The 19,071-nt window shown below is 41.8% G+C and overlaps 1 protein-coding gene across 51 annotated transcripts in view; it reads left to right on the forward strand.

The window, feature by feature from the left end:
- FGGY (FGGY carbohydrate kinase domain containing) overlaps positions 1-19,071 on the forward strand; it is a 466,353-nt gene that overhangs the window by 11,732 nt on the left and 435,550 nt on the right. For 13 of the 51 annotated variants that reach the window (XR_007061929.1, XM_011541731.2, XM_011541730.2 and 10 more), the window contains exon 2: positions 13,427-13,641. The exons of 6 other annotated variants lie outside the window; for them this stretch is intronic. Coding sequence is in view for 32 of the 45 variants with exons in the window: in XM_011541731.2 (XP_011540033.1) it covers positions 13,441-13,641 (201 nt within the window). In the remaining 13 variants the exon portion in view is untranslated. Of the gene's footprint in view, positions 1-1,044; positions 1,636-1,792; positions 1,814-1,922; positions 2,072-7,482; positions 7,628-8,036; positions 8,221-9,629; positions 10,600-13,426; positions 13,642-17,639; positions 17,741-17,778; positions 18,729-19,071 lie in introns of those variants that run through there. 32 more of the 51 variants (XR_007061930.1, XM_017001646.2, XM_011541736.4 and 29 more) reach the window with 20 other exon arrangements.

Genomic DNA, 19,071 nt, shown 5'->3' on the forward strand with positions numbered 1-19,071 from the left:
TAGTTAAGTATGGTCAGTGCCTCTTAATGCTGCTGCTTCTCTTTTTATTTTAGAAAACCATGTCATGGAGGAAAATTACAGGAACTTAAAATGTATAGCATGGAGAAAAGAAGACCCAACAGGAGGTCATGAGAGTCATCTTAAAACATTTGAAAGGGTAGCCCATGTATAAGGGTAAAAAAGGCTGTTTGGATGATCCTTTGGGATAAAAATTAGGACTAGAGGGTAGGAGCTATACTAAGCACAGTTCAACTCAATACAGAGAAGGTCTTCCTTCCTATTACTGTAATAGCTGCTCATTGAGAACATTCAGACAGCACAGAGAGGGACAGGTAAATGGCCTCCAAACCTCCACTATATTTCTTTTTGCTGGATGTCATTGCAGTAAGCAGGTTTTGTGTGTGTTTCCTGAAATCTTTTATGATAGGTCTTTATACAATACAGTGGTTCTCAAACTCTAGCATCCATCGGAATCACCTGGAGGCCTTTTTAAAGCACAGACTGCTGAACCCCACCCCAGTGTTTCTGAGTCACTGGAGCTGGAAGGGGGCCTGACTTTGAATTTCTACCAAGTTCCCTGGTGATACTAATGCTGCTGCTCTTCTAGAGACCACGAATGGCCCTGTTAAAATTTGAGAAAATAAAAGTTTGAGAACCACTGTATTGCATGAAGAAAATAGAGCTTTTGCTCTATTCTTTATTAAAAAATAATACAAATGGCATCATACTGTATCATCCAAGAACTTGCTTTTTTAGTTAATAATATATAATTAGCAGCTTTCTTTTTTTCTCATTCAACAGCTACTGATGTATCAATTTTAGAAGTCCCCTATTAATAATCATTTAATTTGCTTCTAGAGTGTTTGTGGATATGTTCTTGCCTTTACAAAAAAAGGTTGTGGTGGATTTTTTTTGTATCTTTTTGATGAGTCAGTGCATAAATTCTTAGAAGATAAATTCTTAGAAGTTAAACTGTTGGGTAAAAGACTTGATTTTAAAAATGGATAGATAGTACTAAATTATTCTATCAAAGATAGAATCACTTTTCTATGAAAAGTGTATGAAACAGCCTGTTTCCCACACTTTTGCCAAGTGGGTATTATCAAAATTTTCCAGTTCCTGTTTGTTAGGTGTAAAATTATATCTTAGTGTTGTTTTGATTTATATTCCTACACTATTTGTCAGTTGAAAGATTCCTATGTATTTATTTTTCTATGAACTATAAGTTTGTATTCTTTGCATTACAGGTAGAGGGAACAGTATGAACAAAAGCACCAAGCCTTCCTTTGAATAGTTTCTAGTAGTTTTGTAGCATTGAAGTACGAAGGTTGAGGTTAGGGAGAGAGGCAGGGAGCTAAGGTTAGAAAGTCAGGCAGGGGCCTGAGCTTAGAGGTCCTTTTGGGTCAAATAAAGATATTGGGCTTTATTTTGGGCAGAAGAAGCATTGGTGCTGTTTAAGCTTGTACTTTGGTTCGTGGTACTTTTGACAGAGCCATGTTTGTGGAATGGTCAAGTCTAATGTTTAATCTTCAAATAATTCATTCTTTAGTCCTTTCACCTTCGGCCTTAAAGCTACCAGACCAGGGCCAAGCGTGGTGGCTCTTGCCTGTAATCCCAGCACTTTGGGAGGCCAAGGTGGGCAGATCACTTAAGGCCAGGAATTCGAGACCATTCTGAGCAACATGGCAAAACCCTGTCTCTACTAAAAATACAAAAACAAATTAGCTGGGTGTGGTGGTGTGTGCCTCTAATCCCAGCTACTTGGGAGTCTGAGGCAAGAGAATTGCTTGAAACCCAAGAGGCAGAGGCTGCGGTGAGTGGAGATTGCACTACTGCACTCCAGCATGGGTGACAGAGTGAGGAAAAAAAAAAAAAAAAGCTACCAGACCAGGCTTCATAAACTGGTAAACATAAGAATGGGCCAAAGACTTCAACCCATCTGTGACTTGGCATTGTCTCTGAGGGGGGAAATTTTGCATGATCGCATGGAGAATGGATTTTGTTGCTTTATCTGATATTGTCCTCAGCTCCTCCTGAATTTGCCGAGATCTTACAGCAGTCAGTAAGGTTGGTGAGTTCTTTCGTTGTTTTAATTTGAGTGACTTTCTGGGAAAAACTGTGGATTTCGGCCAATATGCTGATGATAATAGCATTGCTTTGAAGGTCTTGTTCTGTAGAAAATCATTTCATAGTTAATTATGTCAGCAAATCAACAGCAACCTCTTGAAGAAGAAAGCAGTGAGGGGAGAAACTGTGTATATGTTTAAATTATTCAGAACTCAAAGAGAGGTCAGGAATTCACATTTCAAAAGGAGGAGTCTATGTAAGAACAAATCATTAAATTTGCATATCTTTTCCCCATTATGGGCCTAGTTTTGTAATTGGCATATTAGGGATTAAAATGAAATAACCCTGCATTTAGAATTAGGAAATGACTCCCCCTGTCCCCCGACTATCTCCCTTTCTGTCTCCAGGGTCCTGGCACAGGAGTAAGAAACTATCACATTTAAATGTCTGCATTTAGAGAACTCAGGGTGTCCGTTGGGTTTGTAGAAGATGGACTGACTCTGTTGATTCACTTGTCGGGTGGACCCTTTCTCCATCGTCCTTCTCTCCTCAGTGTGTGTTCCTATTTAAATGGAGCCCCCTGCTTGGGAGGGAGACTGCTCCAAAGAGGAGCATGGTGCTTCAGCCACAAGCCACATAGAAGGCTTGCTCATAATGCTGCTAGAACTCTGCAGAGGAAGAAAGTTTTTTAGGGTCTTTTTATTTTAAGAGATATTTGACTATTTTATATATTAATAATCCTCTCCTCCTTCACAACCCAGTAATTCCCCTTATTACTACATTACAATACATTGTGCTCATACAAGGAAGGTAGGGAGCAGAGCATTTTCAGTTAATATCTAATGTTTCCCACAGTAGGATTTATCGTGACATCAGGTAGTCTGTATTAACTGGATCATGGAGAAGGCATTTCTAATGATCATCTGAAAAGGCTTCACAGGATTAACAGATTTGAAACTTCATTCTCTGTGTGCCCAGGACACAGGCAGCTTGGTTAGTGTGGAAAGCCAAGTCATTTCAGGGATGGTAGAAAGAGTTCAGCTCTGGCTGATAACAAACCTGAAATTTTTTTTTTTTTTAAAGATTCTTTTTTTTCAATATTTTACTGTAAGTTCCAGGATACATGTGTAGAACCTGCAGGTTTGTTACATAGGTATACGTGTGCCATGGTGATTTACTGCACCTATTGACTGGTCCTCTAAGTTCCCTCCCCTCGTCCCCCCACCCCACAACAGGCCCTAGTGTGTGTTGTTCCCTTCCCTGTGTCCATGTGATCTCATTGTTCAGCTCCCACTTATGAGTGAGAACATGCGGTGTTTGGTTTTCTGTTCCTGTGTTAGTTTGCTGAGGTTGTTGGCTTCCAGCTTCATTCATATCCCTGTGAAGGACATGATCTCATTCCTTTTTATGGCTGTGTAGTATTCTATGGTATATATGTACCACATTTTCTTTATCCAGTCTATCATTGATAAGTATTTGGGTTGGTTCTATGACTTTGCTATTGTAAACAGTGCTGCAATAAACATATGTGTGCATGTGTCTTTACAGTAGAGTGATTTATATTCCTTTGGGTATATACCCAGTAATGGGATTGCTGGGTCAAGTGGTATTTCTGGTTCTAGATCCTTGAGGAATCGCCATACTGCCTTCTACTCTTCCACAATGGTTGAACTAATTTGCATTCCCACTAACAGTGTAAAAGCATTCCTGTTTCTACATAGCCTTGCCAGCATCTATTGTTTCTTGACTTTTTAATAATCGCCATTCTGACTGGCATGAGATAGTATCTCGTTTTGGTTTTGATTTGCATTTCTCTAATGATCAGTGATGTTGAGCTTTTTAAAATATATTTGTTGGCTGCGTAAATGGTCTTCTTTTGAGAAGTGTCTGCTTATATCCTTTGCCCACTTTTTGATGGGGTTGTTTCTTTTTGTCTTGCAAATTTGTTTAAGTTCCTTGTAAATTCTGGATATTAGTTCTTTGTCAGATGGGTAGATTGCAAAAATTTTCTCCCGTTCTGTAAGTTGCCTGTTCACTCTGCTGATAGTTTCTTTTGCTCTGCAGAAACTCTTTAGTTTAATTAGTTCCCATCTGTCAATTTTGGCATTTTTTTGCAATTGCTTCTGGCAAACCTGAACTTTAATATGGCTTTGTCCCTCTAAGGGCTTTGTGACTATCAACAGGATATTGACTCTTTCAACATTTCAGTTTCCTCATGTAGATGGGAGAAACAACATATACTTTGGTAGGTGTTATAAATGTGGATTCTCCTCTCCTTTTCTCTGTAAAGGGAATGGCTTGGTAGGTCAACAGAAGAAGGCATTATAAACAAGTAAATGTGCTTTATTGGAACACAAGGGTTGAACAGAACCCTTGGGAGGGTGTAAGCAGGGTTTTATGGAAGATGGTATGGGAGATCTGAAGTTTAATTTCTTTAAGGGGATGTTTGTTGGTGGAGTTTGGGGATGTCATTTGATGAGTCAGATTTTTTCATCCATGATATCTTTAGGACCTGTTCTGTGCATTTGGCTTCAGCCAAGTTTGGGTTTTATGTTTCCCTTGTGACTGCTGTTGGACATTACCTGTGTGGCTCTTGGAAGGTTATGGTTTTTGGCCACCATTCAAGATGGTTCACCATCCAAAACTGGCTCAGTTTGGATTCTTGTGGCTGCCACATTGTGAGGCACACATGGGGATTTGGTAGGTTCTGTCTTTTCTGCCTTTTGGAATCCAACTTTAAATTTAAAAGGATAGCCAACTTTTCTACTGTCTTTCTGATTTAATACCATGTCCCTCTTCCAATCATCTGTTAGTCTTTACAAATGGGCTCAGTAAAGAGCATAAGGATCCCCAAAACCCTGAAAAATACTGAGTTTCTGACCTAGTTGGTCAGAACTGTTGGAACAGTAATGAGAGCAGTAAACTGGTACCTCCATTAACTGCTGACTTGTTGCTGTGTCCTCACATGGTAGAAGGGGCAAGAGTCTTCCTTGGGCCTCTTTTATGAGGATACTAATCCCGTTCATGAGGACTCCTTTTTCATGACCTCATCATCTCCCAAAGGTCCCACTTTTTAATACCATCACCTTAGGGGTTAGGTTTCAACACATACATTTTTGGAGGACACAAGCATTCAGACCATAACATTAGACTGTCAGTTTGTTAAAATTAGAGATAATGTATTTTTCAGCCCCTTATTCCTAGCATCCTGGCATAGTGAAAGCACTTAATATTTGTTTGTTTACTGGAAATCAAGCTGTTAGATATGGCGAGAATGCCTAGGTATAGATAACACATATTAAAAGATGTGGGTGTCAGCAATTGCAAAAATGTGAAAACAACCTAAATGCCCATCAATCAATAAGTGGGTAAAGAAACTGTGATATATGTATCACACACACACACACGCACGCACACACACACACACATGATGGAATACTACTCAGCCATAAAAAGGAATGAATTAATGGCATTCTCAGCAACCTGGATGGGACTGGAGACTATTATTCTAAGTGAAGTAACTCAGGAATGGAAAACCAAACATTGTATGTTCTCACTCATAAGTGGGAGCTAAGCTATGAGGATGCAAAGGCATAAGAATGACACAATGGACATTGGGGACTCAGTGGGAAAGAGCGGGAAGGGAGTGAGGGATATAAGACTGCAAACAAAGTTCATTGTATACTGCTTGGGTGATGGGTATATCCAGATCTCACATATCACCACTCAAGAACTTACTCATGTAACCGAACACCACCTGTTCCCCAAAAACCTACGGAAATTTTTTTTTTCTTTTTTTTTTTGAGACAGAATCTCGCTTTGTTGTGTTGCCCAGGCTAGAGTGCGGTAGCGCAATCTCGCTCACTGCAAGCTCTGCCTCCCAGGTTCACGCCATTCTCCTGTCTCAGCCTCCCGAGTAGCTGGGACTATCGGTGCCTGCCACCACACTCGGCTAATTTTTTGTATTTTTAGTAGAGACGGGGTTTCACCGTGTTAGCCAGGATGGTCTCGATCTCCTGACCTTGTGATCCGCCCGTCTTGGCCTCCCAAAGTGCTGGGATTACAGGCGTGAGCCACCGCACCTGGCCTAATAAAAAAATTTTTTTAAAAGATGTGGGTTTCAAGAGGTGATTCAGTGTTGGAGGTGAAGGTTGATTTGAGGCCCACACTTTGAGTAAGAAGGCTGTAGAGTGTCTTTGGTGATGCTATACTGTTACACCCAAATTTTCCTTCTGTGCCTCCCAGTGCCATTGATTCTTTCTGGTTATAAAGGAATTGCCCTTTTAAAGGGCTCTCTGTGCTCATTATTTCCTTTAATCTTCACAACAATCCCTTGGAGTAGTTGTATAGAATTCATGAGTCTCATACCTGTGAAGAGAGACATCAGTGAAGAGACTTACCCCAAGTGAGTCAGTGGTAGACACAGATGGGACAAGCATCTGGTTTCCTATTCTGAATAGAATATGGTGACCCTGATATTGATTTATTTTTTAGTGTTGTGGAGAAGAATTGTCTTCATTTCTCCCAAATGCAGTGACTATTTGTTAGTCCATTCTTCAGCTCCTTATTGAGTACCTACTGCATACCAAATTTATTTGTGTGTGTATGCACTGGGGATACAGAGGTGGATAAGATAGACGCAGCTTATGTCTTCAGTTGTCAAGACACAGTCCTGCATTGCTTAGCAGGATGACTTCTGCACTCCGTCTTGGAGCTTCTTTTGAGAACTTCTGGGCTCAGAGACTATGTGTGTGATGTTGTTTTCTCATGTTCTATGGTGTCTGGGATCTTCAGAGCCTGTTAGCCAGCTGGCTCCAGGAACCTATGTGTCATGGGTTCCACAGGTGAACTTCTTGGTACTGGGGCTCTTGAGGTCTCTCCAGTTGGTGACAGGAAACATTCCAGGTGTGAGTGGCTGACCCTCAGAGTAGAGAAAGGGTTTTGTTGGTTTGTGTTTTGTTTCTTTGGATTTACCTCTGGGTTTCTGAGAACTGACATTTTCATAATCTGTTCCTTCTCTGCATTATGTTAATAGACTTTTCTGGGGCAGGAAGAATTTAGTGGATGTCATTTGTTAGCCAAGGTATATGTCTGCTTTTTTTTTTCCTTCTCCCCTCCTCCCATCAATCAAAGGATTTCTTAGTTTCTTATCTGTGAATCACTCAGGCTTCCACTTAACTGCCAGTTCAGTTTCCTCCTTGCCCATCCTCCCTTCTCTTTTCTCCTCTCCTTCCCCCACTTCTTTCCCCCATTTCCCTTTTTTCCCTCTCCCCACCACACTTCCCTTTCCTTTCCCCCTCTTTTCCTTTTCCTCAGATTCTTTTGAATTTTTCTTGATCTGCAACAAGCCAGGTCCTTTGTTAGGCATTAGTGTTAGACATCAGTGATGCATAAAAGATTGTTCTGCTCTTCCAGGAGCTAGATAAGGGCCTGGTTCCACTTCTCAGTATTCAGGGAATGGATTCCCTGCTTACTCCCTTCCTTCCTTTGGATGCCACAAAATGAGCACTTGACTGAAAATATGCTTATACGCGTTTTTACAGACTACGCCAAGCCACAGGTATGTCTAGATGAAAAATGTGTTGTGCCATTGCTACAGACTCTAAAAGTTTGGGGAACCATGGAAGTGTTTGGGTTTCTTTTGAGCCAGTCTTGGCAACCTTAAAACTTTTAGAACTGTCTCCCCTTGGAGGGAAAGGCGAAAAAGAACTGAAGAGGAGGCCTTAAGAAATTTTCATGTTTAGAGGTAAAGTTTTGGTTAGCAAGCTGGTCTTTTCTTCCTATTTATTGTTGGTAGAGCCCATAGAGAAACAACTATTATTGCCAAATCAGCTCTTTCCTTCTCATTTCAAATTTTTCCACCATCTTAGAGCATGTAAAAATTGTTGAAAGTGGTATTCAGTCATTTCTATTAAGACTGAGGTGGGCAAGCTTAACTCATTGTTCATCTTTTTTCTTCCCAATCTTAGCAAATCCCTGATTGCAGTATAACTAACTAAATAAATTGCACAGGACTTGTGTACATCAACTCCCAGCAAAGTCCAAAGATCAAAGTTGAAAGAGGATACTGAATTCCTTCCCAGATTTCTGGGACACTGCTTCTGTGCACTGTCACCAAATAAATCCTGGAGGAGTGGCGCCTTAAGAAATAGGGTAAGCTCATCCGCTTCTGGGAGATTGTCATCATAGGCAGCAATCTTAATGCTCTGAGATGCTTCAGAGGGAAAGAAGGGGAAAAGTATAAAAGAACAATCCCCACATTATCGGTTTTTAGCTCAGTATTTGTAGCTTGTACCCCCTTCTTAGGATTGCTAAAACCCGTTTGCAAAGGACAGCCCTCTATTTCCAGGTCCCCTTTTCCTTTTTTCACACTGCATTTGAGCAGTTTGCACATTTGTTGAAGAATCAGCCACAAAGTCTGTGGTTTCCTGTGGCACATTTCTAACAATATTTATACAGGCTATTATTTAATGAACTGTATAAATATTTATACAGAACAGTCTTTTGATCATAAATAGGGGCTAAAAGTCAGTCCAGTCCATGCTGAGGACTTGGACAGGAGGCTGTTTCTGTGCTTTGAAATGTCTTGTAGACTGAGAAGTTAGGTATGTCCCAGGACTTGTACGCAGCACAGCTTGAATTTCTGTTATTTTTCTTTCTCTTGGCCGTCCACAGTCCGTGCCCTCATTTCTTTCCGCCTGACCACCCTCCCCATATCCCTAACAGCTGTTTTCTTTTTAGAGTATTTATCTTTGCCTAAGAAGAATGAAATGAAACCCCAGTTCCGACTCTCACCATTCATAATGCGGTCTTTGGAGTCACACTGACTTAGCCTCAAACCCCAGCCCCTGTGCTTCTGTACCATGCAACTTTAAACAGCTTCCTGTCTGAGAACCTCACTTTCCTTAGCTGGGAAATGGGGCTCATACTGCCTACCTCACAGGGTTGCTATAAGGATTAAATGAAATCATGGAGTCACATGGTGATCTGCAGCTCAGAGCTCAATAGATATTTCTTGCTGCATTTGTTGTTCTTATTGAAGAAGTAATCAAAGGGTTTGGCTTTCAGTTTTAGCTGGATGTTGTGGAAGGAGCCCTAAACTTGCCGCAAGAGACTGTGGTTCAAATCCTGATGCCATTTGCTGTTTGTGGCACTTTGGGCAAATTACTCCACCCTTCTGAGGTATAATAAAGTGGTGATAGGTTTACCAAACTGATTGGGTTTCTGTGAATGAGATTAACATTGTGTGGGAATAAGTGACACGATGATGATCCTTATCCTTGTTTACTTTACAAACTAGAAAAAGGAATAATGCTTTCCACTTTACAGTTACTTTACTTTTTGAGGCCAAGGGGTACTGGTTGCATAAGATTAGGAGTCTAGGACGCAGCAGATCATATTCATGACCCAGGAACAAAGGGCATAGAGGGGGAAGAGCAGGGGACCTATGATGCAGAAAGTCCTTTGCTGGAGCTCACAGGTCGAATTTCAGGGAAGCTGCCCAAGGGCTTGAACATCCCTGCTTTCAGGTTCCAGGTATGGAAATAATCACAGAGATCAGTTAAAACTATAATAATGGGAAAAGTGGTGAACCTGAAATATGCAAGTAGGATCTATTTCATAGAAAAACATGAACTGGGTGATGTGTGTGAATGACGCTGGGATGGTTTGACTCTTTGCTGCATGGTGCCCTGGTAATAAGTTATAGAAATCCATATTTTGCTAGAAGCAGGCCACCTGGTGTTGTGGAAGGGTCAGTCTCTGAAGATGAACAGCCTGGGTTCTGAGTCAGCCAACCTTAGGCACAGCAGGCAGAGGCCCCCAGCAGAGTCCTTGACAAATGGGCATTTAGTAAATAGAGGAATAGCAGGAGGCAGTGGAGCATCCTGAGAAAGGTTAGGGCTGATGGAACCGGAGGGAATGGATTACTGTCAATTGTATTACTGCCTAGTAATATGGCATACTGGAGCAAGTTACTTTACCTATCTAGGACTTATTTTCCTCATCAGTAAAATGGGAGTGATCATAGTTATTGTCTTCAAGAATTGTGGTCAGGCATTGTAATCAAGCTGCTTAGCAGAATATCAGATATGTGGTAAACATGGTACCTTTTTTTATTTCCCCAGTGATGAATTTTAAAGACATCCATTCACTGAGTTACAAGGACTTACTGAGCTCCTGCTGTATGCCAGGCACTGGGCTTACAGCTGTGACACAGGCGGCAGCTGGAATTAACTGTAATCATACCGCTCCATTCTCCATGTGAAGGGTGGGCTCCTGCCAGAAACCAGAACTGGAGCAAGCCCAGGGCTAACTGTAGAGTGGAAATCTGCCTCTTTGGGTTTTACTGGAAAGGAATCAGAATGTGGGTAGGGTGGTAAGATGATGTATTTTATCATATTACTCTCTTCATCAGAGAGGGAGTCAAAAGTGAGGAACCCAAGCCTGAGCACGTGGGCCAGCCCCATGGGGAATCTGTCTTGTCATCGGGGCTGGCTGGAGTAGAGACAAGTCTGGATGCTGGCTGGCCAGGTCTGTGTAAGCCAGGGTATTGAATAGATTTTTCATTTCCTATTTATTTCTTTGTTTCTTCCTAAGCGTTTATAGTAGTCTTGCAAAAGTCTTGCCAAGGGCAAAGAGTTGTTAGCATGCTAGGATCAGTGTTAAGGAGCAGCACCCCGGGGGCCTTTGCAGTAGAGACAGTGGGAAGCCCAGAGAGGGGATTCCAAGTAAAGTAAGCAGCTGTGAGAGGTTGGTAGAGGGAAGGTAGAGTGGCTAGCTTCAATCTTCTTCCTGTTTGCAGCTAATAAAATTGAGGAAACTCAGCGAAGGCATTGCCCCTATTTTGTCAATCAGTGTATCCTCAGCAGGCTTCCTGGTGTTACTGTCTTCTGCATTTCTTCTGAGTCTCAGATGTCACTGATTGCAAGATGCACCATTATTTATTATTACCATGAAGTAAGAAAGGAAATGATACCAATTAATTGTAACATACCATTGATTGTAAGGTTCTCACTGGTTTTAGAGAAGCTAAATATGGAAAAATGAGTGCCGTAGAATGAATAAAATGTGGTTGTAAAATGAATAAAACAGGCATGGACCTGTTCATCCTTGTTTCTGTTAATTCATTGATTCAGTTGTTCATTCAGTAAACATTTACTGAAAACCTATTATGTGCCAGACACTGTGCAAGGAGCTTGGGATACAGAAATCAATAAGTTCATTTTTTTCAGATTCAGTTAGGAAGACAGACATGGAAAGAAAAATAAAATTGTGATTCCAGAGTGGTAAGTTTTAAAAGAAAGCAGGGAGAAGATACCATGTTGGCATCCTTTGTATGTATGCAAGGGGAGAAAGGGAAGGAAGCCTTTTCCAAGGAGAATTGATGGCTGACCTGGGTCTTAAAATATAATTCAGTGGTCACCAGGCAGACAAGGAAAGGAGAGAATTAGGAAGGGATGAGCAAAGGATTGGGGCAGCCTTTAGCAGCTGGGGGCAATTGAGAGCTTATGAGGAGTTTGAGGATGTCTGTAGCCTGGAGTGAGAATGAGCAGGACTGTATTAGGCGGGGCTGGATGGCAGGCAGAGGGAGCCTGTGGAGGGTGTGAGATCCCGTGCTGAGGCCCTGGGGTATATCACAGCTCAAAGCTGGTGGTTTTCAGTTGTCCTGAGAGAGGGCCTAGCAGAGGGACTGCTGGGGGGAAGGGCTGGAGGGTGGGGCAAGGGCGATCTTTGCTTCAGAGCAGCTCTGTTTTTATCTGTTTTGTTTTCTTCAAATAATGGCTTGAAGAAAAGGTATCACTGTTGAATGAATGAAGGAATGAATGATTTGAAAACTGGTGCTAATGGTCATATGGAGGTCCCCAAGGGGAATGTAAGCAAGGGAGAGAAGTTGAGGTTACACACCAGTGGAGGTCTGATGAAGCTCCTATGAACGGAGCAAATGTTACTTCTGCAGCTTCTCCATTTTATTTTTCACCTGCTCATGAGCCACAGAGCCAAAAGGGGGACAATTCTGTTGGGAAATCATTGTGATTAAGACAGAAGCAATTACTTTTAATGAAGTTTTTATTGTTTTATTTGTTTTTTACTGGAGTAAATATCTAGGAAGCAGTAACTGAACATCTGCTGGTTGATTTTCTTTCAGAATCTCCATGTTTGACTTGGCTAGGGAAACATTTTCTTTCTGAAGTTGAAGGATGCAGAAGGTTGCCCAGGTTGAAATTAGACTCTGGGTGGTAAAACTGCCTTGAGCTCACCTGGAGAGTTGTAGGGCATCCACCTGCTCAGTTGTGTTGGGGGCTTGTTCTTATTCTTTCAAAGCCAATCTGGAAAATAAAAGCCTCTATGAGATTCCATGTCATGTGGGCTAATCTGACCAAAGGGACTTAGAGCAGCCATGAAGGCCAAGGAATTCCTGAATGTTCTCTGGTCAGATTTCCTTGTAACTCACAAGGGGTCTGTAAGGAAAACAGATTGTCTAACTAATTGCTGATCTTGTCTCCTCGGGGTTCCTTCCCAATTCCCAGTCACTTCATGACAAAGCTGCAATATATTTGCCTCTTCTCCAAACCTATACAGAAAGCTTTTAAGAAACAAAGGAAAGAGCATGAAACTTGGGATTGCACAAATATGGGACTTTAGGTCCAGGCTGCCCCTGAATGAAGCTGATTAAATTCCTTAACTTCTCATAGACTTGCTTCTTAATCAGTGTAGTGTGTATCATTATAATAATGTACATTTACTGTTTGAATTTATGAGTAGACCTAGCTAGCATTAAGCAAAAAGTTACTTATCTCTTGGAATCTCACCTTGACCACCTGTAAAACAGAGATGTAAATAGCCTCACCTTCTAGAGTCATAGTGAGGAGTAAAGGGGACATAAGCACTTTTCACAGTGCTTGCGTGTAAGAGGTACTTAGTAGGTAATTGTTGAATGAATGACTGACTAGGAGGACAAGGTTCCTTTTCAGTACCTTGGCTTCTGTTCTTGTTGATTGAAATTCACTGAGAAGAAACTCATCTCCATTGCCTCCAGATTCTAAGTTCTCCTACCACCCTGTACTTGCCCTTACAGCACTCATCACAACTTTGCCTAAATAATTATGTATTTAAATCCTGACTCTCTCTCAAGAGTGGAAATGCCATGTCTGAGGCCATATCTGTGCTGTTCACCCACCATGTAGCTCAATGTTTATTAGTATACTGTTATCACTAAAAATGTTTGTTGGATGAATAAATAACAAATGGCTACCGGTTAGGTAGCGGTACCTCTTTTATTTCTACTTTTGAGATGTTTTGTGACTGTCTTTGCAGATCCACTTGGTCTTCATATGGTTTTTACACTTGCTTACTATAGGTGGAGGAACTGCAATGTCTGGTGGAGAACAGAAACCAGAGAGGTACTATGTGGGTGTGGACGTTGGAACAGGCAGTGTCCGTGCAGCTCTGGTGGACCAGAGTGGGGTCCTGTTGGCTTTTGCAGACCAGCCAATTAAGAATTGGGAGCCCCAGTTCAACCACCATGAGCAGTCCTCCGAGGACATCTGGGCTGCGTGCTGTGTTGTCACAAAGGTATGGGCAAAACTGGTGTTCTCTCCTTGTTCATATTCCTACCTGCTGAGTGTCGTGTGTCAATCTGGTGCCGTAAACAATGTTGGGGTAACTTTAGATGCAGAGGTAAGCAAGACATAGGCCTTGCCCTTCAGGAGCTCACAGTCTACTGGCAGAGACTGATAAACAGCTAATATATGGTAAGAGCTGGGATCAAAGTAACTATAGCTGGAGCTGGGGAAAGAGCTAACCGGAGGGGGCTCAGGGAAGACAGGACAGCTTGAGGTGTGACCACATGTGGAAGAATTCACTGATCACCTTATTAACATTTACCACGCCTTTAATGTGTGCCAAAGGCTGTGTAAAATGTGTTAACTTGCACTGTGTAGTTGCATCTTCACATGACCCTATAAAGGTAATACTGTCACTACCCCTATTTTATTGAGGGAGAAATGTAGGCACAGAAAAGTTAGGTAACTTACTCAAGTTCACACAGTAAGTAGCAGAGGCAGGACTAGAACAAAGCAGTCTGACTCCAGAGGTGCGCTCTTTTTTTTTTTTTTTTTTAATTAAAAAAAGTTCAATGGGTTTTTGGGGAACAGGTGGTGTTTGGTTACGTAAGTTCTTTAGTGGTGATTTCTGAGATTTTGGTGCACTCATCACCCAAGCAGTGTACACTGTACCCAATGTGTAGTCTTTTATTCCTCACCACCCCCCAGCGCTTTCCTCCGAGTTCCCAAAGTCCAATTGTATCATTCCTATACCTTTGCCTCCGAGGTGCACTCTTAACCATTGGACTCTGCTGCCTTCCAAGTGGACAAATGAGGATGAGAGGAACTGCATTTTGGGCAGAGGGAATAGCATATGCAAAGGCATGGTGGCACGAAAACATGGTGTGTTCTGATAAAGCAAAGGAGTCAGATTAGAGTGTCTCCCATATATGCCAGGCATATGTTCACCCTGAGTGGCCTTGGATTGGATGCAGCCTGCTGGCTTGGGAAGGAAAGCAATGCTTCACAATTCTTGTTTGTTTTTAAAGTTTCACTTGACTGTTTGATTTTATGTCTTGGTGATCAGTAATGACAGAGGTCCTTTTGTCTTTTTTTCCATGGGGAAAAATAAAGTCCTGGATTCCTTCTTTTCCCTGTTCCTAGTTTAGTTCCTTAAATATTCATGAGGTGCTTGGTAATTTGCAGATGGACAATTCACCATTCTGTCCCTATTGATCAGTCTGTTTAAACTTTAATGAATTCTGGGCTGCTGTTAGTGCCCCCGGAGAAGAAGGCAGAGAGAGGAGGGAGTGGGTAGGCAGTACCAGAGCATTATACAGGAATAAAAGAGGGATGCATCTTCTCTTTTGCCCATTTAATTTTCCTCTCCTCTCCCCTCCTTTCAGCCCCCAATCTGGTAAGAATCTTCTACTCTTTGCACTTGGGCCTTCTTTCTTCTTTTAACATACAGCCTTGCTTGCCGTTAAGGAAATTATCAAGAAGAAAATATAATCCCCTGATGAAAAGCTACTTTAAAAAAGGTCTACTCTAAGTACAGCTGGTTTAATGGTAGATTTTTAATCATCTCCCAGTGGTGGCCAACTTATCATCTGTTTGAGCCCTGTTAGCTGCATAAGTACCATGGACATCTGTCGATAGCAATGCTATTGCACTATAGCAAACCTAAATGAAGCCCTTGGGTCTTAGGCGATTCTCCTCAGATGGAGTATGGATATGTGGGCATGTGCCAGAAGCCACAGGATAAGCATGTTACATCTATATGGAACATCATTGCTGGTGTGAGGCTTAGGGAGGGAAGCATTTTTATGTTAGAGAGATAATAACACCATAGGAATGAGAGAGGTAGGTGACCTGTTATAGAGCACAGATTCTGCAGCCAGACTGCCTAGATTGACATCCCACTTACAACGTTTATTAGGTTGTGATCTTGGACAAGTTACCTAATGTTTCTTGCTTCAGTTTCCTTATCTGTAAAATGGAAATGACATTAGTACCTACTTCCATAGGATTGTTGTGAGGATTAAATGAATTAATGCACATAGGATGTCATAACATTGCCTAGAAATGTGTATGGGTTGTTTCCTATGGTGGTGCTGATGGTGACAGAAAATGAGCAGATTATAGAAGATAGTGAATTTCTAAGACAAAATACTGAAAAGTCAAAGTCTACGGCGGGGGAGGCGCTTCTTGGGAATATTCATTCACTCTCCTGGTTAGGGTTCTTACTGTGTAACACTTTGAGAAACACTGGTCTAGGGCAAAGGGTGGCATCAGATATGTCCTGGTCTGTCTTTTCTTCCTCATGGACTCCAGGAAGTTGAGAGCTTCAGAGCAGTTGTTCTAATTCCTTTTCCCTAAGTCATTCACATTGCCTGAGATGACTTTCCTCTTAGTTAAAGCAACAGTAAGGATAATGTGGTGTCAATGATGATGACAAAGACAGCTAACAGTTCTTGGGCACACTGGTCCAGGTACTATACTGAAGAGCTTTTACCCATCACTTCATTTTATCCTTATAATAACTACTTTTTTTTTTTTTTTTTTTTTTTTTTTTGAGACGGAGTCTCGCTCTGTCGCCCAGGCTGGAGTGCAGTGGCGGGATCTCGGCTCACTGCAAGCTCCGCCTCCCGGGTTCACGCCATTCTCCTGCCTCAGCCTCCCAAGTAGCTGGGACTACAGGCGCCCGCCACTACGCCCGGCTAATTTTTTGTATTTTTAGTAGAGACGGGGTTTCACCGTTTTAGCCGGGATGGTCTCGATCTCCTGACCTCGTGATCCGCCCGCCTCGGCCTCCCAAAGTGCTGGGATTACAGGCGTGAGCCACCGCGCCCGGCCAATAACTACTTTTTAAGGTAGTTTTGATTGTTCTCTCTGTTTTGAAGATAGAAAAACAATGAGCTTTGAAGAGGTTCAGTAAGCAGCCTAAGGTCTCCTGAATAAGAAGAAGGGGACGCTGTCCCTGCCACTGCTACTGCTCTCATGCTCTGTCCCTTGTCTCTCTCCAGCCATATCTCCCTCCACATGACCCTACCTGGAACTGATAAGAAGTAGCCTGAAATTTTTAGATTTTCTACACATGGGGCATCATGAGGTTACCCAGGATTACGAGTGCCTTTACCTGGTTGCCTGCTCATCTGGGAAGTGTGTGCCCCCTCAGCAGGGGTTATATCTAGTTTATCTGTATTTCTCTAGAATTCTTTGCTTGTAGTGTGTTCAATTAATGTTTGTTGAGTACATAAATGAATGATATATCTCTGTTGTTTACATTGTCTGGAATACTCTTCTCTTAACTTCCTCACCTGCCCAACTCCCACCTTATAAAGTAAGCTTAGGCGGGGCGTGTTGGCTCACGCCTGTAATCCCAGCACTTTGGGAGGCCAAGGCGGGCGGATCACGAGGTCAGGAGATTGAGACCATCCTGGTTAACATGGTGAAACCCTGTCTCTACTAAAAATACAAAAAAAAAATTAACCAGGTGTGGTGGCGGGCGCCTGTAGTCCCAGCTACTTGGGAGGCTGAGGCAGGAGAATGGCGTGAACCTGGGAGGCGGAGCTTGCAGTGAGCCGAGATTGCGCCATTGCACTCCAGCCTGGGAGACAGAGTGGGACTCCGTGTCCAACAACAGCAACAACAACAACAACAACAAAAACAGTAAGCTTAAACATTCCTGTCTCCTGAGTGTCTTCCTTGGTGACTTCTGACAGTCTATGCCCTTTTTTACCAACCTCAGCAGAAAGAGAGGGTGAGAAGCCCCTCTCTACTGTCCAGAGCCCACCATCTTCACCCAGATCACTTTCTACTCCTTATCTTTGCATTTTACTTGTTGGCTTGTTTACCCCCTTTTAAACTATGAGCTGAGCTCTTAGAGAGATTCATCTTTATGTCTCCAGTATCTAACACATTGCCTGGCACAAATTAGGTGCTCAATTAATGGCTGTTGAATGAATGTTACTTAGAGCTAAAAACAAAGAGACAAAATCCAATCTAGCATTCCTTATCTTGTTTCAGTGTCACTGTGGGGCAGGAAGGACAACTATTCTTCCTATTTGAAATATGAGGAAATTGAGGCTCTGGAACTAACAAGTATTGGAGACAAGACCAGAACCCTGGTGAGATGGCTCCAAATCTTCCTCTCTGTCTTCCTCCCTACATTCCCTAAATTTGGCAGGTTTTATTGGGCTGGTAAGCCGCACACCTAAGAGGTTTTATGGAAACTCACAAGTCATAGAGGTTATATGCAGTCCACGATTTTAAAGGTTCCTTTATGGAGCCACAAATCTTAATCATTCCAAAAAGGTGAGAACATTTCAAATTAGTGCATGATTCATACTAAACTTCTCTTAGGAAGAAGGAGAAGATAAGCTGGAGGAATCATTTAGCCAACAGGTGTTTGTTGAGTATCATTCTTTCATTTAGTCTGCAAACATTTATTGAGCACTTAACTATGTGCTATGCTCTTTGCTAAGCATTGGAGCATATAGAGGAGACGTATACAAGAAGTCTGCTGCTTTTAAAGATGAAACAGCTTAATTGTATGAGAAAAATAAACAACACATATGAAGCCAGTAAAGTACCATTTTGTTCTGTCTTGGTGCTATCTATATGAGTAGTGGTTGTGGGGAGGGGGACAGAAGAAAGAGTAGCCACATGTCGGGTTGAGCAATAATGTTAACCTTATATTCATAGAACCATTATAGTTTACAGTGCATCTTCATTTTCATTTGATTGCTATTGCAGGGTGAAGTAGGGAAGAAGTTGTTATTCCCATTTACATTTGAAAAACTGAGGGCCAGAGAGTTAAGTGATTTTCCTAAGGTCACCCAGGTGGTATGTGATAAGGCAGAACTCAGATGGGTCAAACCTATGCATTCTCTCTATCTCTAGCACCATATACCTTTATATTTTGCATGGAATATTATTCCAAGAACCTAACTGATGTCTTGATATTCATTTTTCTTTTCTCTATTCTTGCATTTGAAGTGTTTTTTTTTTCCTCTAGTGCTAACTGATCATGTCACTCTTTTGCTACAGCCCTTCAACATCTATCACTCTACTACAGGCATAATGATAAATTCAGTTCCAGAACACCATAATGAGGTGAATATTGCAACAAAGCTCACATGAATTTTTGAGTTTCTCAGTGCATATGAAAGTTATGTTTACATTATATTGCAGTCTATTAAATGTGTAATAGCATTAGTCTAAAAAAAGTATATAACTTAATTTTTAAAAATTGCCAAAAAATGTGTTAATGATCATCGAAGCCTGCAGTGAGTTGTAGTCTTTTTCCTGGTGGAGGGTTTTACCTTGATGTTGATAGCTGCTTACTAATTAGGGTGGTGGTTGCTGAAGGTTAGGTGGCTGTGGTAATTTTTTTAAGTAAGGCAATTTTTTAAGTAAGGTTTGCTGCACTGATTGACTCTTTCTTTCACAAAAGATT

Source organism: Homo sapiens, chromosome 1 (assembly GCF_000001405.40).
Source record: "Homo sapiens chromosome 1, GRCh38.p14 Primary Assembly".
Lineage (NCBI taxonomy): Eukaryota > Metazoa > Chordata > Mammalia > Primates > Hominidae > Homo > Homo sapiens.